At 45.4% G+C, this 19376-nt stretch overlaps 1 protein-coding gene across 24 annotated transcripts in view, besides 1 other annotated feature; it reads left to right on the top strand.

The window, feature by feature from the left end:
* Positions 1-19376, top strand: part of BCAR3 (BCAR3 adaptor protein, NSP family member) — a 286411-nt gene that overhangs the window by 20562 nt on the left and 246473 nt on the right. The window lies entirely within an intron of this gene.
* Positions 12977-13517: an enhancer, noted in NCBI's record as "H3K27ac-H3K4me1 hESC enhancer chr1:94279629-94280169 (GRCh37/hg19 assembly coordinates)". NCBI's record gives its function as "activates a minimal SCP1, AML or CMV promoter by ChIP-STARR-seq in naive H9 embryonic stem cells {active_cell/tissue: H9 hESC(naive)}" and the evidence as "EXISTENCE:reporter gene assay evidence [ECO:0000049][PMID:30033119]".

Below are 19376 nucleotides of genomic sequence, written 5' to 3'. Positions count from 1 at the left end.
CAGTGTCCTCACTTGTAAAATTAGGGGCTGAATAAGAGAGGATGCCTAGGGTCCTGCCCAGCTCCAAAATGCTTTGGTCCTCCAAGATCCATAAGACTGCAGGAAGTAGCTGAGACAGCCCTCTCGGAGGGAGCTGGGTCACAGTCTGCTAGACTCCCCTGCTATGTAAAGTCCCATTCTGGCAGATGTCACTTAGATTTCCCCCACTGGCTCCAGATAGGCCTGCTTTGGATAAATGACACTCCTGTTTTGCTAAATCTGACCAACTCAAATCATGCCATATGTGCCTCATTACAAACTTGTCCCTGTGCCAGCCAGATGGATGCAGTACTTTTTGGTCTCCCAGCTAAAGGTTGAAATGGCCTTCATGATGGCACAGCTGGCCTGTAGAGGTGCTTTTGTTTCACTTGTTAGACACCATGTTCTGTTTCAATTCTGTTTCTCTAGTTAAAGTGTTTTCATTTCTTTATTTGTTCAATAAACACCTCTCAAGTACCTGTATGGCCCTGGCACTCTGAGGGGCTCCATAATACCAAAACAAATAGGTCACAGTCCCTTCCTTTCTGGAGCTGGCACTGCCCATGGCCTTCCTGGTATTCCACAATCTCTTCCTACTTAACTCTCCAGCTTTATTTCCCTCCACTGATGACTCCTCCCTGTCATATTGTCCCTTTCCCTGGGGAGGTTTTGCACATGCACATGCTTAGCCTGAACAGGAACCCCTGCCCTCCCAGGTACACATAGGCATTTATACACACACACGTGCATGCACACATGCACGCACACACACACACACCCCTACCTCTCTCCCCAGCCATGGGATTCTCCATTCTTCAAGTTTCGACTTCAGTGTACTTTCCTTAGGAGATCTCCCCTGACTGTTCTGCCCCCAATTCCTGTTATATATTCCTTTAGCACCCTGACTTTCCTTCTCAAAACATTCTCCATCTGGTAACTGCTTTTTAAGTCTTCTCCCTCACTGGAATGTAAACTACCTGGCAGCATGAGGATCACTTCCTGCACACGGTAGGCCCTCAGTAAATGAAGTATGAATGAATACGTGGATGAATGAAGCTGTGAAAGGGAGAGACAAATAGACAGAGATGGATATATCCCATCAAGATCACAGAAGGAATGGGAGCGAAGACTGGTAGACAGACCCATAGAAAGGGACCCCAGCTGCTGTGATGGGGAAGGGATGGGTGGCAAGGTCTCAGAAGAAATTTGTACCTGATCCTGAAGAAGGAATGAGTAAAGTGAAGAGGAGAGGAAAGTGCAGCTCAGGCAGAAGAGACAGCATGAATAAAGACAGGAGGTGGTGGGCCTGGTGTTTTCAGGGTCTGGAGAGTTGTTCATGAGGCAGGTGTGGAACATCAGAGGCTGGCAGGAGAAGCTGTGAGCTCCCAGACAGTGCCCTCCTCCTTGAATAAGAACTTGCAGAATCCCCGACTCTGGAGTCCTTACCATGGCAGGGCACTCTAAAGAACAGAATTCTTCCTTCCCTCTCCCCTCTTTCCCTTGCTTCCTGTCTTCCCTTCTCTCATTCTTCATCAAATTCAACTCACATTTACTGAACTCCTTCTGTGCATCAAGAGTTAGAGAATTTTCTTCTCACTCTCTGCTTTGAAAGATGAATCTAGCTCCAAACCAGAAATGGTTCCACTAGGCTGGAACTGTGGTCAGGGAAGCAGATGAGAGCTGGCATGTGGGCAAATTAGGGCAGAAACAGACTCTTGGTGGATTCCAAAGTAGGCACAGATTTAGAGGGACCAGGTTAGTGAAGTTACCCAGAACAGAGATGGGTCAAAGACAGAGGAGAGAAAGCCTCTTTGCTGCTGCGGGCCCTTTAAATGATACCCTCTCCTCTGCTCGCATGGCCTGGGGGCTGGTCGGCAAGTGCCCCACCAGTGGGTGCTGACTCCAGAGGTTTGGCCCTGGGGAAGGAGGGTGGAAGGCCGAGCTCAAAGTAGAGAAAAGGGGCATCTGGAATCTCCATGGCAAGGGGCAGGCAGAGAGTGCAGAAAGGCAGGGAGCATGACCTGTTTCCTTTCCACAAAAGAAATGGTACTATCTCCTGCTGGGGTGACCTCTGCTTTCCTCTCTGAAGAGACCTTAACTTTTAACTGTTCAGGTTGCTTTTCTTGATCAGGGAGGAGCTCAAGCCTGCAAAACCTCCCTGTAGGTAAGAGGGAGAATATGCCAAGGGAGGCTGCTGCTATACAGCTCCTAAAAGGAAAGTAGGGTGGGTAGGATGGGATCTCAAGGCCAGGCTGCCCATGGTGAGTGCACTTCAGGTGGATAGCTGTGCTGGGGGAAGCTGCCGGCCAAGTGGACACTCAGAGCTGGCAGCCCTGGAAATGAGATTGGAGCCCTGAGGCTGAGTGGGGGACATAGGCGTTAGCACTCCAGTATTGTATCATGTATTACTGTCAGGTTTTGTGCGTACTGCCTCCTGAACTTGACCTTGGATGTGGAGGTAATGTTATACGTCACCCAGAGAAACCATTCTAGAGCTGACTAAACCCACTGAGGGGGTCTCTGTACGCACTCGTGAGTTTTGATAGGTTACCAGAGAGCCACAGATGGGTATGGCTTGGAACAAAACCCAGGCAGGTGGCTCACAGCCAAGCCCAACAAAGCTGCCTCTTTCACAGACTCTTTCTTGGGATGGCTTGGATATTCCGTGGAGAGGGATGGTCCCCCCAGACCACCTGGGCACACAGAACAAAGTGCCCAGAGGGAAACTTGGTTAAATCCAAATTAAGTGCATTTTTTGATGAGACAGAAGAAATGAAGAAAGGCCCTGTGGGCAGCTTTGGGCTTGCAGAGCGCATGAAAAATATGTCATCTGAGGAATGGGGAGAGGAGACAAAGAGGTTAGTGTGACAGGAAGCCTGGGAGGAATAAAGCCAGAGTAGGAGGAAGAGAGGGCCACTAAGAAAGGAGGAGGGTCTTTGCCAAGAGGAGGCATGAGAACAAAGGGAGAGAGGTGGTGGGGGTAAGGTCGGGGATGCAAGGAGAGCTGCCGGACCCTGGTCAGTGTTTTCCCCAGCACTGAGAGTTGTCACCGGAGGCCTGTAGTCTGTGTGTTGGAGGAGCCCAGCCTAGCCCTCTCGGACGGAGAAGAAAGAATGGGCCCTTTTAGCTGAAGGAGTTAGCCTCCACCTACCCACCAGCCATGGATGGATGAGCACCTGCTCCTGGCCCCTGACCTGTGTGTTCAGTGCCAACAGTGCTTTAGAGAGGGTAACAGCACTAAGGGTTCTGAGGGAAAATGTGGACAGAAGCTGTTTATGTCCATACTGTTTTGTTCTTTAGGAGTCTTAAACAGTGCTTGCAGGAACAGTTTACAATGGTAGTGAAGGAGGCACTTTAGGCAAGATGTAGAGAGGACGTGGTAAAGTTGGCCAGGCCACGTTGGCCAGACCTGGGGTAGTGGCTGAGGGTTCTTGTTCATTCAACAAACATTAGTTGAATGTCTACTAGGAATACCGAAAACAAGACAGACTCCCTGATCTTCTGGATTCTAGTTTATATTCTAGGTTACCTTCTAGTGAGGGGTGACAGACAAGTAAACAATGAGATACTTTTCGGCCAGGCGCGGTGGCTCATGCCTGTAATCCTAGCACTTTGGGAGGCCGAGGAGGGTGGATCACGAGGTCAGGAGATTGAGACCATCCTGGCCAACATGGTGAAACCCCATCTCTACTAAAAATGTAAAAATTAGCTGGGCGTGGTGGCACGTGCCTGTAATCCCAGCTACTTGGGAGGCTGAGGCAGAAGAATGGCTTGAACCAGGAAGTCAGAGGTTGCAGTGAGCCGAGATCTTGCCACTGCACCCAGCCTGGCCACAGAGCGAGACTCCGTCTCAAAAAATAATAACAACAACAACAAAAAACAATGAGATACTTTTCTATGTAGGTTAAAAAAGCTCTTTGTTTGTCTTCACTTCCCAACCAGGTTGAGGCTGCCAGGGCTGTCTTCTCTGACAGCAACAGTAGAGCAGAAGTACAGTCAGTATTTTGCCTGTCAATGTCATCTTGACTTACACAATATTTTTATGCATTTTTCCTCTCCTCATTTCCAAAATAGTCAATAATCCCTTCAGGAGTGGAAGGGAAAAGGAAGATTGCAGAGGGCAGATAGCTCCAGAAGAAGAGACCACTGCCTCCTAACTGTATTCCTTCCACCAGCTTCTCCTCATTCACCTTCCTACACTCCTGGAGGAATTTTATAACATGCTAATGTCACCATGGGACTTCCTGCTTTAATGGTTTAGATTGAGAATTGGTTGGGATGCTTTTGACTCCTAAGAAGTAGAAAGCCCTGACTCAGCTGGCACAGTCATAAAGACACTTAGCACCTCACCCAGCAAGAAACCTGGGGAAGGTGCCTCCTGGTAGGTTAATTGAGTGATTGACTCCCAGGAGCCCAAGTCCTTCCCCTCTTTCAGCTCTGTCATTTCCACGCTGTACGCCTTCAGAGTGGCATGATGGCTACTGCATCCAGATACCACAGCACTCAGCAGGAGGAGAGACACTCCTCCCTGTGCATCTACAGCAGGGAGGGGACCCTTCCCAGGGCCCCAGAAGATTGCCTTCATGACTCATGGGCTGGACTTGAGTGATGCCTCTTCCTAACTCACTGGCAAGGGAACTGGATTTCCATGGTTGCCTCTGAGAAGCACAGGGCCATGGGTGGAGCAAATTTCCTGATCTACAAAGGGAGCTCTATTAGTCAGTGAGTCAAGAGTGAGTGGTGATGAGTTGATGGGTAGGTAAGCATAGGTGTCTGTTACAGATAACTTTGTCTCACTTTCAGGAAAAAAAAAAATCAAACTCTGTAGCAAGACATCAAATGCCCTTCATGTTCAGGTCCCTGCCTGCTCCTCCAGCCTCATCTTTTCAGCAATACTCAAGTGCCTTTCTCCAGCCATATCCAAAGTATTGCTGGCTGGGCATGGTGGCTCACGCCTGTAATCCCAGCACTTTAGGAGGCCGAGGCGGGCAGATTACTTTGAGCTCAGAATTTGAGACCAGGCTGGGCAACATGGCAAAACCCCATCTCTACTAAAATATAAAAATTAGCCAGGCATGGTGGCAGACCCCTGTAATCCCAGCTGCTTTGGAGGCTGAGGCAAGAGAATCGCATGAACCTGGGAGACAGAGGTTGCAGTGAGCCAAGACCACGCCATTGCACTCCAGCCTGGACAACAAGAGCAAAACTCCGTCTCAAAAAAAAAAAAATTAGCCATGCGAGATGGTGAGCTGAGTAATCTCAGCTACTTGGGAGGCTGAGGCAGGAGAATCGCTTGAACCTGGGAGGTGGAGGTTGCAGTGAGCCGAGATCACACCACTGCACTCCATCCTGGGTGATAGAGAGACTGTCTCAAAAAAAAAAAAAGAAAAAAAAAACATCACAAAGATGGATTGCAATGTCCATCTGAACCTTCTCTGTTCTTTAATGCCTCAATGCCTTTGCCCACACTGTTTCTGGCCCTTGCTGCCTTGTTCTTTGAGACAGCCCTTGCTATACTAACACTCTCTTCAAGCATATCCCAGCTTCCCTAACCTTGCTTGGCTCCTGCCTCCAGGTGGAATTAGAAGGTGCTCCTTTGCAAGTGACTCAGTTATTGCAGACTGGTACAGTGGTTAAATACAAGGTGCAGAAAGCACACACCCAAGCTCTCATGCTTACAGGCTGGGTGACCTCAGGCAAGATATTTAACTCTCTGAGCAATCTAATTGATTCTTCTTCTGTGAAATGGGCATAATAATGGTAAAAATGGGTCTAATAATAGTACCTACTTCATTAAATTTTTGTGATGATTATAAGGTATGCTAAGTGCTTAGCACAACACAGGGAGTACTGTGCTAAGTATATGTGTAGTGCTCAGTAAATGCTAATTCTTTTTATTTGGTGGTGGTTATTATTAGCATCCTCATGGAGGGACAACTGTAGACACAAATACAAATAGAGTGACCTCATGCCAAAATGTGATTCCAAGACGTTTGCTCACTTTTCAAATGGCTCTAACATTTCACCACCCAGTAACTGCATGTTGAAAGGCCCCTGTAGTCTTTGGGGCTACGGTATTTAGTGTGGGCAAACAGCGTGATGTGTACCGTGGACATTTTTGAAGGTTTCTTTACCACCACCTCTGAACTCCATCTGCATCCAAGGGCTATCTCTAAAGAGAAATCGAAGACATCCACCCACAGTTTCACAGAGCTCTCTACAGGCCTTTCCCTTATTGGTCATCTCCTTGGTGAGGTCAGAGGAGGCTTTGCTCCTGGCCTCTGCAGGAGATTCCTGTCCTCTAATCTCTGAACTTCAATGGAATCTGGGTTAGAAGGATCCCTGAGGGAGTCTCAAGGGAGGACAGCCGATTTACCCTCCCCAGACCCCTCAGTGTTGAAGAACGACCTTCAAGAGGCAAATGATGATTTGAAGGTCGAGTAAGGCTCTTATGTACTTGTGACAAAATAAGAAAAATACATTTGGTCTCTGCCCCAGTTCCTAGCACAGAGCTCCTAAAACTCTTGTAATTTCCGGAGTGATAGGGGTGACAGGAGTTTTTTTTGTTTTGTTTTTTTATAATGTAACTAGGGTCTTGGTCCCTAGTTCCTGCTATAAGAGCTTCTAACACCCTTGGAATTTCTGGAGAGATAAGATGTAATTTGTAATGCTAATGAGGTAACTCTAGGTTGGGTGGGGGTGGGGGAGCTAGACAGCTTCAGGATGAGGTCGGCTTACCAGAGGAATCAAGCTTACGATTAGAGGGTTGGAACTTTCAGCCCCATCGTCTGACCTCTGGGAAGAGGGGAGTTGGAGACTGAGTCCAATCACCAATGCCCCCTGATTTAATCAATCATGCCTATGTAACGGAACCTCCACAAAAACCCTAAACAACGTTATTCAGAGAGCTTCCAGGTTGGTGAACACATCCACATGTCAGGAAGGCAAATGCCCAGAGAGTGTGGAAGCATCTCACCTCCTCCCACATACCTTGCCCTATGCATCTCTTTCATTGGCTGCTCCTAGAGTTTTATTCTCCATAATAAACTAATCAGAGTAAGCAAAGTGTTTCACTGAGTTATGAGAAGCATTATAGCAAATTTTTGAACCTGAGGAGGGAATTTGGGGAACCCCCAATTTATAGCTGGTCAGTCAGGAATACAGGAGACCTGAGACTTGTGATTGGCATCTGAAGTGGGGGTCAGTTTTATGGGGCTGATCCCTTAACCTGTAGGGTTTGTGCTAATTCCAGGTAGTTAGTATCAGAATTGAGTTAAATGGTAAGATCCTAATTGGTGTCTGCAGAGAACTAAAGAAGTACAAGTACTTAGTTTGGAAAACCTACACATTTTGGTGTCAGAAGTATTAAGAGCATCGAAAACTAGTTTTTCTTTTGGTATTCTTACCAATTTCCACAGAAATTGAGGTCCTGATGGACTCTGGATACTTGAGTAGCATCTTTAACTGTGTTTGTGTGAGTGAGTTCTGAGTTTAGAGTTTACTGTTAAATAAATCTGGCTCCTAAGCAAATTAATGCAGGAACAGAAAACCAAATACCACATGTTCTCATTTATAAATGGAGCTAAACATTGAGTACACATGGACACAAAGGAGGGAACAACAGACCCTGGGACCTACTTGAGGGTGGAGGATAGGAGGAGGGTGAGAATCAGAAAACTGTCTATCAGGTATGATGCCCATTACCTGGGTGATGAAATAATCTGTACACCAAACCCCCATGACACACAATTTACCCATGTAACAAACCTGCATTTGTACCCCTGAACCTAAAATAAAAGTTGGAAAGAAAAATAAATAAATAAATAACTGGAAATATATAAATAAATCTGGCAAAGTTATAGTGTTTGTGGTAGGTGAAAAGATACTCGCACCCAGCAGCGTCTGCCTGAATTTTCTCTGTAAGTTGCAAAGGTCCAATATTTAATACAGGTCACATTTTAGGATTAGAATTTTAATCCACTTTCAAGTAGTAAGTTTGTTCCTCAAAAAATAAAAAATAAAAATAAAAGATCCAGAAGAGAGCTAAGAGTAGGAAGCAACCTACCTTTGTATCTTTTGCTAAAGCGCATGTATTTTGGTAGTTAAAAGCAAAAGCAAGTGGGCTTGGTAACCAGTGGGAGGAGTGGCCAGGGAAGGTGCTCCCGAAGTATCAATTGGTTAGCAAAGTCAGTTTAAAATGGGCGACCCGGCTGGGCGTGGGGGTTCACACCTGTAATCCCAGCACTTCGGGAGGCCGAGGTGGGTGGATCACGAGGTCAGGAGATTGAGACCATCCTGGCCAACGTGGTGAAACCCCGTCTCTACTAAAAATACAAAAATAACTGGGTGTGGCAGCACACGCCTGTAATCCCAGCTACTTGGGAGCCTGAGGCGGGAGAATGGCTTGAACCGGGGAGGCGGAGATTGCAGTGAGCCGAGATTACACCACTGCACTCTAGCCCGGCAACAGAGTGAGACTCCATCTCAGAAAAAAAAAAAAAGGACAACCCACAGAGTATACAATTATAACAACATGTGGATCATTGCTTCTATCTCAACATTATTATAACAAACATTTGATACTTTTCTATTTACAAAAATATCATATATACATTGCTGATACCTAATATCTAACAATTCTTCAGCACTTAACTATGTACCAAGCAGTGTTTTAGGTGCTTACACTCATTTGCTCATTTAATCATTACTGACCCATGGGGCTGTATTCCAGTGCCTCCTTAGCCTGCTCTTTAAAACCATTCATCACCCACCCACTTACTCTCCTACACAGCACTTACCACTCTCTGACACACTATGTTTACTTCATTACCTGTCTGTGTCTCTCCACTAGAATGTGAGCTCCCTGTTGGTGAGAATTTGCTTTATACCCAGCACCTAGAATAATGCCTGACATATAATGAAACAAATGCCTGGTCCTCAGTAAATACTTGATTAATGATGGAAAGTACTGTTACCTCCCATTTTACAGGTGAGGAAACAGGCTCTGAGTGGTTAAGTAGCTTGCTCAGATCACAGCTAGGAAGTGGCAGAACTGGGATACAAACCCAGACACTTCCGCTCTGGAGACACCCACAACCACGACAGTAGGCAGCCCAGGTACACAGCACTGAGTCAGACCAGTCCTGAGGTGGGGACTTGCGTGGTAGGCATAGACCAAGGTATTTAGCCTGCAGGCAGAAGAGGAAGGCCCTGAGAAGGAGGCGGTAGACATTGAAGATTAACGTCAGCTGTGTGGCACTTGTGCTTTAGTGTGATCCTGGCTAACAGTGCTGATATCAGTCTCTCATGAGTGTAATCACACAGAAACCAACAGATATTTCTGAACTCCTTGTGTGTGTAAAGCACTGATGTACGTGTTAAGAAAACTGTCACAAAGTACAAAAGGAGACACTTGGCACTCAAAGAGCTTATAATCTAATTGTGGGAAGCACTAGCACATGAAAAATAACATAGCAAAGTCAGCAGTATTAAGAGTACCATAAAGTGGCACGTGGTTAACACTCAAACCAGGGGCCCTGGGAACCAGTGCGTCACCGGTAAGGAGGGAGCAGTCACTAAAGTCTCAGTAGGCTGGGAAGCTTCGTGTGGTGTGGGGCGGCGGGGAGCAAAGCTTCCTTGGGACTGGCAGAGCCAAGAGGGCTGAGGAGGTCTAGGGGAAGGTGAACTGGGAGGGTGGGAAAGCAGGGAGGAGGAGAGCCCCTTGGCAAAAAGTGCTGTGGGGCAAAATACTGCAAAGATGCTGGGCAGGGATGTGGGGGGGTAAACAGGGCTAGTCAGCTGTAGCCCATCAAAGCCAGGATGGAGAATGTCATATGTAGTTTGTGCATGGATGTCACCTTGAGCTGGGAAGCAACTCAGAGACTTACAGGGAAGGAGAATAGAAAAGGAGTAAGATTGGGAATGCTGCCAGAGATGACATGGAGAAGCACAGGGAAGGCCAGAGAACCAAATGGCTAAGGGCACAGGCTTTAGAGCCAGCCTAACTTCCACCTCTACCTCTGCCACTTCTGAACTGTATGAAAGGTCACGACACTCAACTTTCAGAGACTCATTTCCTCATCTGTAAATGAGAGAAAAAGAAAAAAGTTGTCTCATGGAATGTCTGTGAGGTTAATACAGTGAGATAATATAACATGTAAAATACTTAGCACAGTGCTCAATAAATGGTAGCTTTCAAAAACCATGGAAGTGACCCACTGGGAATGCTGGGCTCTCAGCCCCAAAAACCAGAGAGCAATGCCAGACCATGGTGCCTGCTGCCCCCCGCACTGGGGGTGACCCCCTTCAGCCCCTGCTTTGATGCCCAGTGGCCCATTTCTTCCCTCATACTTAAAAGTGCCTGCTCACATATAAGGCTAAATCAAACTCCTGCAGAAACATGACAGGAAGCTGAAAAGATAACATAAAGCAGAAGCAGGGATTCCTGTTACCAGAACAGTGTTGGTTGAACAGGATGTGGGGGGATCAGGGAAACAGATGGCTGAGAAGCAGATATTGCGGAACCATCCAGGAAGTTATTGCCCTCCCAAGCTCAGGACAGAGGCTAGTTCTATTATTATGACTTTTTTTTTTGAGGGGGTGGTGGTTTAATGTACTGATTGCTTGCCTGCCCCTGAAGGCAGTTTTAGGACTTCAGCAAAATACAAGTTAGCACCTGTTTTTGTAAGTATAGCTAAGATAGTTTTAGTTTGGGGGGTTTTGTTTTGTTCTATCTTCATTTTTTGTTGCATTCCTGAATATCTTGTTCCTAGCTATGGTGGTTGTTTTGACATTGTCAATCAAGAATTCAGTGGGCAATAGCTTAAATGCCTTCAGTATTACCATCTATTGCTTGTTTAAACAGAGTTTTAATTTCTTTTTTTTTTTTTTTTTTTTTTTTTGAGATGGAGTCTAGCTCTGTCGCCGAGGCTAGAATGCAGTGGTGCAACCTTGGCTCACTGCAACCTCCGCCTCCTGGGTTCAAGCGATTCTCCTGCCTCAGCCTCTTGAGTAACTGGGATTACAGGCGCCCACCACCACACACAGCTAATTTTTGTATTTTTAGTAGAGATGGGGTTTCACTGTGTTGGCCAGGCTAGTCTCGAACTCCTGACCTCGTGATCTGCCTGCCTCAACCTCCCAAAGTGCTGGGATTCAAGCGTGAGCCACTGCGCCCAGCCCAGAGTTTTAATTTCTAAAGGATTTTGTGAATTATTCACCAATGAAAGCAAAGCTATAAATTGCAGCATAATTTCAAAATATTGCTTGGGGGATATGATCATGAGAAAACATAAAACTCTATTCTCCTGTCAATTCCTGAGCAAAAATTATCCTACAGTGATAGAATAAACTAGTCACAGTGGGCTTTCTGTGCAGCTAATTTATTTTATGTGCCTACTGTGTGCCAGGTATAGCACTAGATTCTGGGTATACAGTGGTGATTAAGACAGCATAGTCCTCACTCTCTTGGAATTTTCTAGTATAGTTTTCCAACTAGCAGCTGGCCTTTTGCATATCTGGATAGCCTGAATACGTACCTCTTGTTCTTTCAGTAGTAATAATATGTTTGTGAATGTTCCATTCACATTCTTCCCCAGCATCCTTTGTATGTAGAGTGTACTATACACATGGCTGAGGGATCAGGGAAGGTGTGAATCAGATCCTGTAAACCTAGCACAGGCCCTGACCACGGCAGCATTCTTCTAACCTCCTAATCAGTGAGATAAGTGTGGTTGCTACCTAATAAACCACTGTAAAATTACATTAGAACTCCTCATTTATATTTTTTGGCTCAAACATGTTCTCCGTGTGTCTGTTGGTGTATAGCGCATCTCTATACAAATGTACATGGCCCTTTCCCATGTTTTATTTCATTTTCCCTTCAGAAGAAGCCTGTGCAGCAGAATGAATCAGGCAATGGTATCTCACACATGGATGAAAAGTGACTTCCCTCCCCATTCTTCTGGGGAGGGCTGCTTCCCCGCTTTGCGAAGCCCCACCTCTTACAACCTAATCTGCAGCGCCAGCTTTACCAAGTGAGGTTCACTTTATATTCAGCATTTACTGAGTCATCAATCCCCAGGAATCTCAAGATACCAAAAATATGGAGACCCCACAGAGAAAGCTCAAGTTCACTACTGCAAATGCCTCTGTTCTGAAGAGTAAATTCGAGTAAGAAAAGAAACAACTAATCATGTTTATGCTGAGAAATGTTTCTCTTCTTTCTCTCCTTCTTGATCTGCTTATTTCTCATAGTTCCCCGTCTCTGAGCTTCTCCCTGGGGCCTACAAAATGCATCTCGCTGGCATCCTAGGAGAGCACTGAATAAATATAAAGTGATAATGAGGAGGCGGCAGCTCTGGGCCACCTGGGAGGTGATAAGTGCAGCCAAGAGGCCCGGTGGGACCTGAATGCCTGCTCAGACAGCCCAGGGATCTCAGGTGTGATATAATTGTTGCTCAGCTTGTTTCCTTTACCCAATAAACTGTAGCTCTGTGGGGGCAAGTTGTATATTGTGCTCTCCATATAGCCCTAACGCAGTGCCTGGTGCTCCATAAATAGTTATTAAAAGTAGGAAAGAAGGCAGGCAGGCAAGGAGGAAGGAATGTGTGGGGGTGCACCTAAGCTTCTGAGGTTGTACAGAAAATGTGGACAGAAACCTAAAGTCTAGGTAGGAGCGGAGTTTGCACTCCGTCTTTTAAGACAGAATCCCTGGGTTAGTTCAGGTGAAAGCCCCGTGGATTAAACCTGTTTGATGCCTGGTTTGTGGGAGTCAAGGGATGTATGCGCCTCCTCTCCTGGCTGCCACACAGGAGCTGTGTTCAGTCTCACAGGGGCATCATCAGCCTGGGAGCAGCTGTGTGGCTGTAACACCAGTGGATGCCGGTGTAACAGCTGGTACACACACCAGTGGTGACCCCCAGATGGGCCCACAGGGCAGAAACACTAAAGGCCAGGCCTCCTTCTCCATGAGGGCTGCCCAGAGTTCCTTCACAACAGCGACAAAGGCAGAGCCCAAGCCCATTGGAGGTTTTGCAGGTAGTGGACGTGAGTCCTGAAGAGCAGCTTTACCACTCCAGGGACCACCAGGCCCTGCCCGCCTAGAAGTCATAGCAGCCAGTGTAGACTTTAGCTTAGGAATACACTGCATGACCATCTCTGTGGGACCCCTTCGCCCTCAACCATCCTGTGAGATGTGGAAATTGAGGTTCAATAAGGCTGAATAACTTGCCTAAGGTCACACAACCAGTGAAGTGTCAGAGTTCGTACTCAGGGCATCTGGTCCTTTGTCAATCACATCAGCAGAGGCATAGCAGCTGCAATGTTGAGAATACACTTGATCTTAGCCAAAAGGCCAAGAAGTGATGCAATGTTGAGAATAACCAGCAGAGGACAGCCTCCACCAAGAGGCCATTTACTGCCTTTGCAGAGATCAAAGCTAACATACCAGTATTGGGGCATATGTCACCATGTGCTCCCTGCTCCCTGACAAGATACACTGAAAAGGATCCAACATCAATTCTGTGATTTTCCTGTCATAAAAAATTTACCTAAACCTAATCCTGAAATACCAGATAAACTCAAAATCAGGGGCAGTCTGCTAAGCAACTGGCTAGTACCCTTCAAAATTGCTAAGGTCCAAAAAGTCAAAGAAAGGCAGAACTGTTCCAGGTTAAAGGAGGGCCATACAGCTAAATGCAATTAAATGCAATAAATGATTGATCTTTCATTGGATCCTGGGCTGAGAAAAAAGCAATACAAAATGTAAAGGACATTATTGGGACAATTGACGTAATCTGAATTTGAACTGTGGTTTAGATAGTAGTATTGTATCAATGTTAAGTTTCCTAAAGTTGCAATCATAATATGTTTACATAACAGAATGTCTTTGATCCCGAAATATTAAGGGGTAAAGGGGTACAATGTTTCCAACTAGCTTTAAAATAGTCAAGGAAGAACACAGAGATAGTAATAAGGCCACAAAAGAAATGGAGCACAATGAAAGCAATAGGTGAATCTGGGCAAAGGGCACATGGAAGTCCCTTATACTGTACTTACAATTTTTCTGTAACTTTTAAATTATATCCATATTAAAAGTGAATGAGAGAGAGAGAGAAACTGTCCTAGTTTTTCAGAGCTTTGGACTTGTGGTAGCCACACCCGATTTGAGTCAGTGAAAGCTTTCTCATTGAGGGGGTGGGGGCAGTGAGGTGAGGCCTCTTTTTAGTAAAGTGTGGCTTCAGCCCACTGTGGAGCCCTGACCTTTGCCCTGGACTGACCAGAGTGACTGCACACAAAGCTTACCTGATAATAGATTTACCTGACCTATGAGACGGCCTTTGCTTAAACATTTTGAGGGAGTGAATATAATTCACACCTATAGGTGGAGGAAGAACAGTGGACCAAGCTGAAGGCAGAATGGAGCTCTGGGGGCTGGGGACACAGGGAGCATTCCAGGGCCTGTGAAATACAGAGAAGGAGAAAGGAGGGTCATCTGGGGGAGGGATGCAGGGTGGAACCACCACCTACAGCTTTGCTGGGGCAATCCTTCCAAAAGGTAAGACTGCTGGAATCTGAATGAGCAGGGGAAATGTTAACAGTAAAAAGACTGCTATGAGGGGTAGCCATGAAAAAGGACATAGAGTAGAAAAAGCCGATGGAGATGATATAGACAATGATGTGTGTTAGAACCACTTGGAGGACTATTGGAATTCTGATTCTTTTAGGCCTGGGATAGGGGGGTAGAGAATTTACATTTCTAACAAACTACCTGGTGCTGCTGGTCTGGACCACACTGTGAGTTGCAGTGGTGTTGCAGATGATTGTGTCCAGCCCACCCTGGAGGGGTAATGCCTGTGAGGAACATGTGAGAGTCACAATCAAAGAGGTCCAGGGTTGACCCTGTGGTGCCTCTAGCTGGGCAGTAGGGATTAGGGACAGACAGCCTCATGGATGAAATGCCACTTAAACTGGGTTTCAGAGGAGCTGGGGTAGAGGAGGGCCTTCTAAGGAAGCAAAGACCTAGAAAACAGTCCAGTCCAGTTCATCATTTGGGTTTCCCAGGGAAATGGTGGGCAGAAAGGCAGTTGAAGGGCCTGAGTGCCAGGTCAGGAGTTTGGACCATATTTGGCAGGTGGTGCAGAGCCTATGGTGGAGACATGACAGAGAGAGGGCTTTCAAAAGATTGACCTGATAGAGGTATGAAGAGGTATGAAGGGCAGATAGGAGAGGGGGAGACTTGAGGTAGGAAAACTAGACAGGAGGTCCCAGCGGTGGGCTTCCTGGGACGGAAGGGCCTGGGGAAAGGGGATGGTAAGGGTGCGTGGAAAATAAGGGAGTTTAAGCATTCTAGCTAAGTGGGAAGTAGAATTACACAAAGAATCCATTTGTTCTATTAGACTTTTGGCCTTGAGTTACCACCAAAATTGATATGAAGCATTCAAGTCTTCAAAGATGTTTTTTAAAAAAATCAATCCATTAAATGTATTTACAGGACATTTATTACTAAAAATTAAGCACGAGCTTTCATATGAACATCTTCAAAAGTCTCCTAAGCAGCAAGTGGGCAGATGGAGACAATGATGTGCTGGGAAACGTTTACCAACAGGCTGGGAGTCAGGAGAGCCCTGATTTGTAGCGAATGTCAGTTTCCGAGCTATAAAATTCTCTCATAATGGCCGATTTCAAGCTAACAACATGATGTCAACTAGCTTGTAAAATTCCAAAAATATGTCAGTTGGCTCTTGGGAGCCAGTACAAGCTGTTTCTAGCACACTCCAGAATGTAGAACAAATGACAGGAAATGGTTGGAGCCACTGCATAAGTAGTGAGTAAGTTTCTTTTCAGCATTGGTTTCTGAACCCAGAAAGCCAGGATTACCTGTGGAAGAAGCTCACAGGCCAGGTGACTTTGGGCCCCAAGCATTGGAGCATCAGTTAACAACAGTTCTTTCCAAAGAATGGAAAATGGCGGATAGGTTGGATTTGTTCCAAAGCCCCAAAGCCAGGAGGATTATTTTACATAATAGAGAAGCATAAAGGAAAGGGAAGAGTCTTAAAACTAAGAGGAAAGAGACCCGGTGTTTGCACTTATCTCTGTCTCTGATACTTAGCAGCTGTGTGCTTAACTGCTTTGAGCCTCACCCTCTGTCTTTGAAAGCAAGGACAATACTAATAGTATACACAGCTCCATGCAAAGCCTAGAAGGCATTCCATATCAGTCAGACTTCACAACCCTCCCTTTCTTCCCTGCTACAGCATTCACCCCTCTCCACTTAGGTTTATGCTGCCCCAGACCCTGTATCTGTCCCATAGAAACTATCCTCTCACGTCTGAGGGATGTCCCACACCTTCAGGGTAGATCTGGAAGCCGCACTGGCCAGTCTGCTGCAGAGAAGAAGGCAAAGGGAGAGAAGCTGATTGTGTCCCCATCAGCTTTCACGGCTGTGCTTTGGTCCCTCACGAGCTGTACTTCCTGCCCTTGGATTCTAGTCTTTCTTTTTTTCTGATAATTTTTTCTTTTGGCTTAAAATTGGGATTCTGTTACCTGTAACCCAAAGAGCCTGAGACACCCTAATTATCTTCCTTCAAAAATTCTGGTAGAGACAAAAGACACTGGCCTGGGAATCAGATTTGAGTTTTGACCTTGGACAAATGACTTCACCTCTCTGGGTCTTGGTTTCTCATCTGTAAGATGAACCAATGAACCAAATGAATGTAAATGAATTTTAGCACTAGTGTACTGCTCTGTTCTACATATCTTTAGCCTAATGGGAGTATATTAGAGTTAAATGCCCACTCAATTCCACTAGTCAGAAATGAGTTGATTTGAATGACCAGAGAGCTTTGGACAGTATTTGCACAGTACTGATTAACTCCCTAGCCAGTACTATCTGGGCACGGGTGACACCTTAGTTCGCCTGGTGTCTGTAGAGGGTCCTGGAACTTGTGTAGGATTGTGAAAGGCTGCTGACAGTGGGCCTTGGCATGCATGGAGAAGGATGATGCTGCAGGGACATGTGGTTTTCATGAACATTTTTGAAGCCATGAAAGTGTCCTAGGGTTCCTGACCTGGCATCAGAGTGTGCTGATGTGGGCCAGTTTCCTGTCTGAGACTTTGAGAGATGGATGGGAAGAGGTGAATATTTCATCAGTCATAACCACGTTTAGTATTCACCCTGGGAGATGCTTTCCCTGTGCTAAGGGAAAACTTAAGGGCTAGTTGTCAAAAAAGTCTTTTTGTGTGTGTGTGGTAACAATAAAATAGTAATTGCTATGGAAGATGCGTATATTTATAAACTATAAAGAAGAAAGTGAAATAATCTGTTAACCAAAGACCTGGAGATAACTTCTAACAGCAATTTCTTTTTTTTTTTTTTTTGAGATGGAGTCTTGCTCTGTCACCCAGGCTGGAGTAAAGTGGCATGATCTCGGCTCACTGCAACCTCCGCCTCACGGGTTCAAGCAATTCTCCTGCCTCAGCCTCCCGAGTAGCTGGGATTACAGGCACATGCCACCATGCCTGCTAATTTTTGTATTTTTTTTTAGTAGAGCTATCTTGGCCAGGCTGGTCTCGAACTCCTGACCTCAGGTGATCCACCTGCCTTGACCTCCCAAAGTTCTGGGATTACAGGCGTGAGCCACCGCATCGGGCCAGCAGTTCCATTTATATCCTTCTAACTGCATGCCACCAGGTTTTACACCGTCTTATAAACTGCTTATCTTAAAAATGTTTGGGAGAATTCCTCGTTAAAGACCTTTATTGGGTCTTCAATGATTTTTTTTTTTTTTTTTTTTTATCTTTTTGAGACGAAGTCTTGCTCTGTCGCCCAGGCTGGAGTGCAAAGGCGCTATCTAGGCTTGCTGCAACCTCTGCCTCCCAGGTTCAAGCAATTCTCCTGCCTCAGCCTCCCGAGTGGTTGGGATTACAGGCACCCACAGCCACGCCCAGCTAATTTTTGTATTTTTAGTAGAGATAGGGTTTTGCCATGTTGGTCAGAGTGGTCTCAAACTCCTAACCCCAGGTGATCCGCCCACCTCGGCCTCCCAAAGTGCTGGGATTACAGGCATGAGCTACCGTGCCCAGCAGGTCTTTAATGATTTAAGATCAAATAGTACCAAAGACTTTATCGTGAGAAATAGAAGTTACCTGCCCCACGACTCCCCCCACCACCACCCCTCAGCCTTGATCCCCCAAAGAAAATTTTAAGCATTTTTGTTTTGTTTTGAGTTTTTTTGGTGGTTACCTCCAACAGAAGATGTTGTTTATTAATTTAGCATCTTTATTCTTTTCTATTGACTTTCTACAGTGATAGAGGAGTCAGCTACTTCTATCCCACTCCTGCCTCCTCCCCATCCTTCTAAATATAGTGAAATCATTATTCTCAGATCTTTCTCCATCTCCTCCTCAACTTCAAAGAACATAATTAAAGCCCCATTTCCTGTTCCATCAAATATAGATAATATCTCTTTACTCTTCACTTTGTCAAAGGAGCACTTGGCACCCTACCCTTCCCTCCCGCTTCTCTCTCTCTTCTACTTCCCAACCTCTGTCAGCCTGTTACATACTTTTACGCTTTGTTTTGAAATCATTGTTGAGTTGGTTATGTTTGTCTGATGTTGACTCTACAAGTTGAAGACCAGAAAATAATATTTATCTTATTTTGGCTATAGAAATATAGTTCACAGCAGATAAAGTAGTGAACTAGGATTACATTTCTTTATGGAACCAATGTCCCTACCCAATAGAGAATATTTCTGGAACAAATTATCTTATTTTCTTTTGTTTTTAATCCCACCAATTTTCTTTATCTTATCCTCATATCATGTTTTCCATGCTTTTAATCAAGCTATTTTTTTTAACTGATTCTACTTCTGTTTGTTCCAGCTGCCCTCCAAAAACAAAACAAAACTAGAAAACTGTGTAGTTCTCTATCTTCCTTCTCTTGTTTCCTCTGGGTCTGTAACGTGGTTGCCATATTGCAATTTCTCTTCATTGTTCTCAATGTTCAGAATTCACATTTTTCAAGTCCTCAACAGCTTCCTCTTTCTTAATTTATACATCGATTTTGCTGGAGTGTATTCTCAGGTAACTTTCTAGAAAATGCTATACAGGAGGTACAATTCTGCTTTCATATCTGAAAATGCCTTTATTCAACTTTTCACTTAACTAATAAATTGGCTGGGTATAAAATTCTAGGTCAAATACTATATTACTCAAAATAGAATCTGTGGTTTTTTTCTGGAATCTGTTAGCATCTACTTTTTATTCTTGGTGCTCTGAAAGTTTTCAATGGTGTGCTATGTGTGGGTCTTTTTGATTCATTTGTTCTGGGCATTCATTTGCCCTGTTGGGGCTCT

Source organism: Homo sapiens, chromosome 1 (genome assembly GCF_000001405.40).
Source record: "Homo sapiens chromosome 1, GRCh38.p14 Primary Assembly".
Taxonomy (NCBI): Eukaryota; Metazoa; Chordata; class Mammalia; order Primates; family Hominidae; genus Homo; species Homo sapiens.
This window is presented reverse-complemented; position numbering and strand designations above follow the sequence as displayed.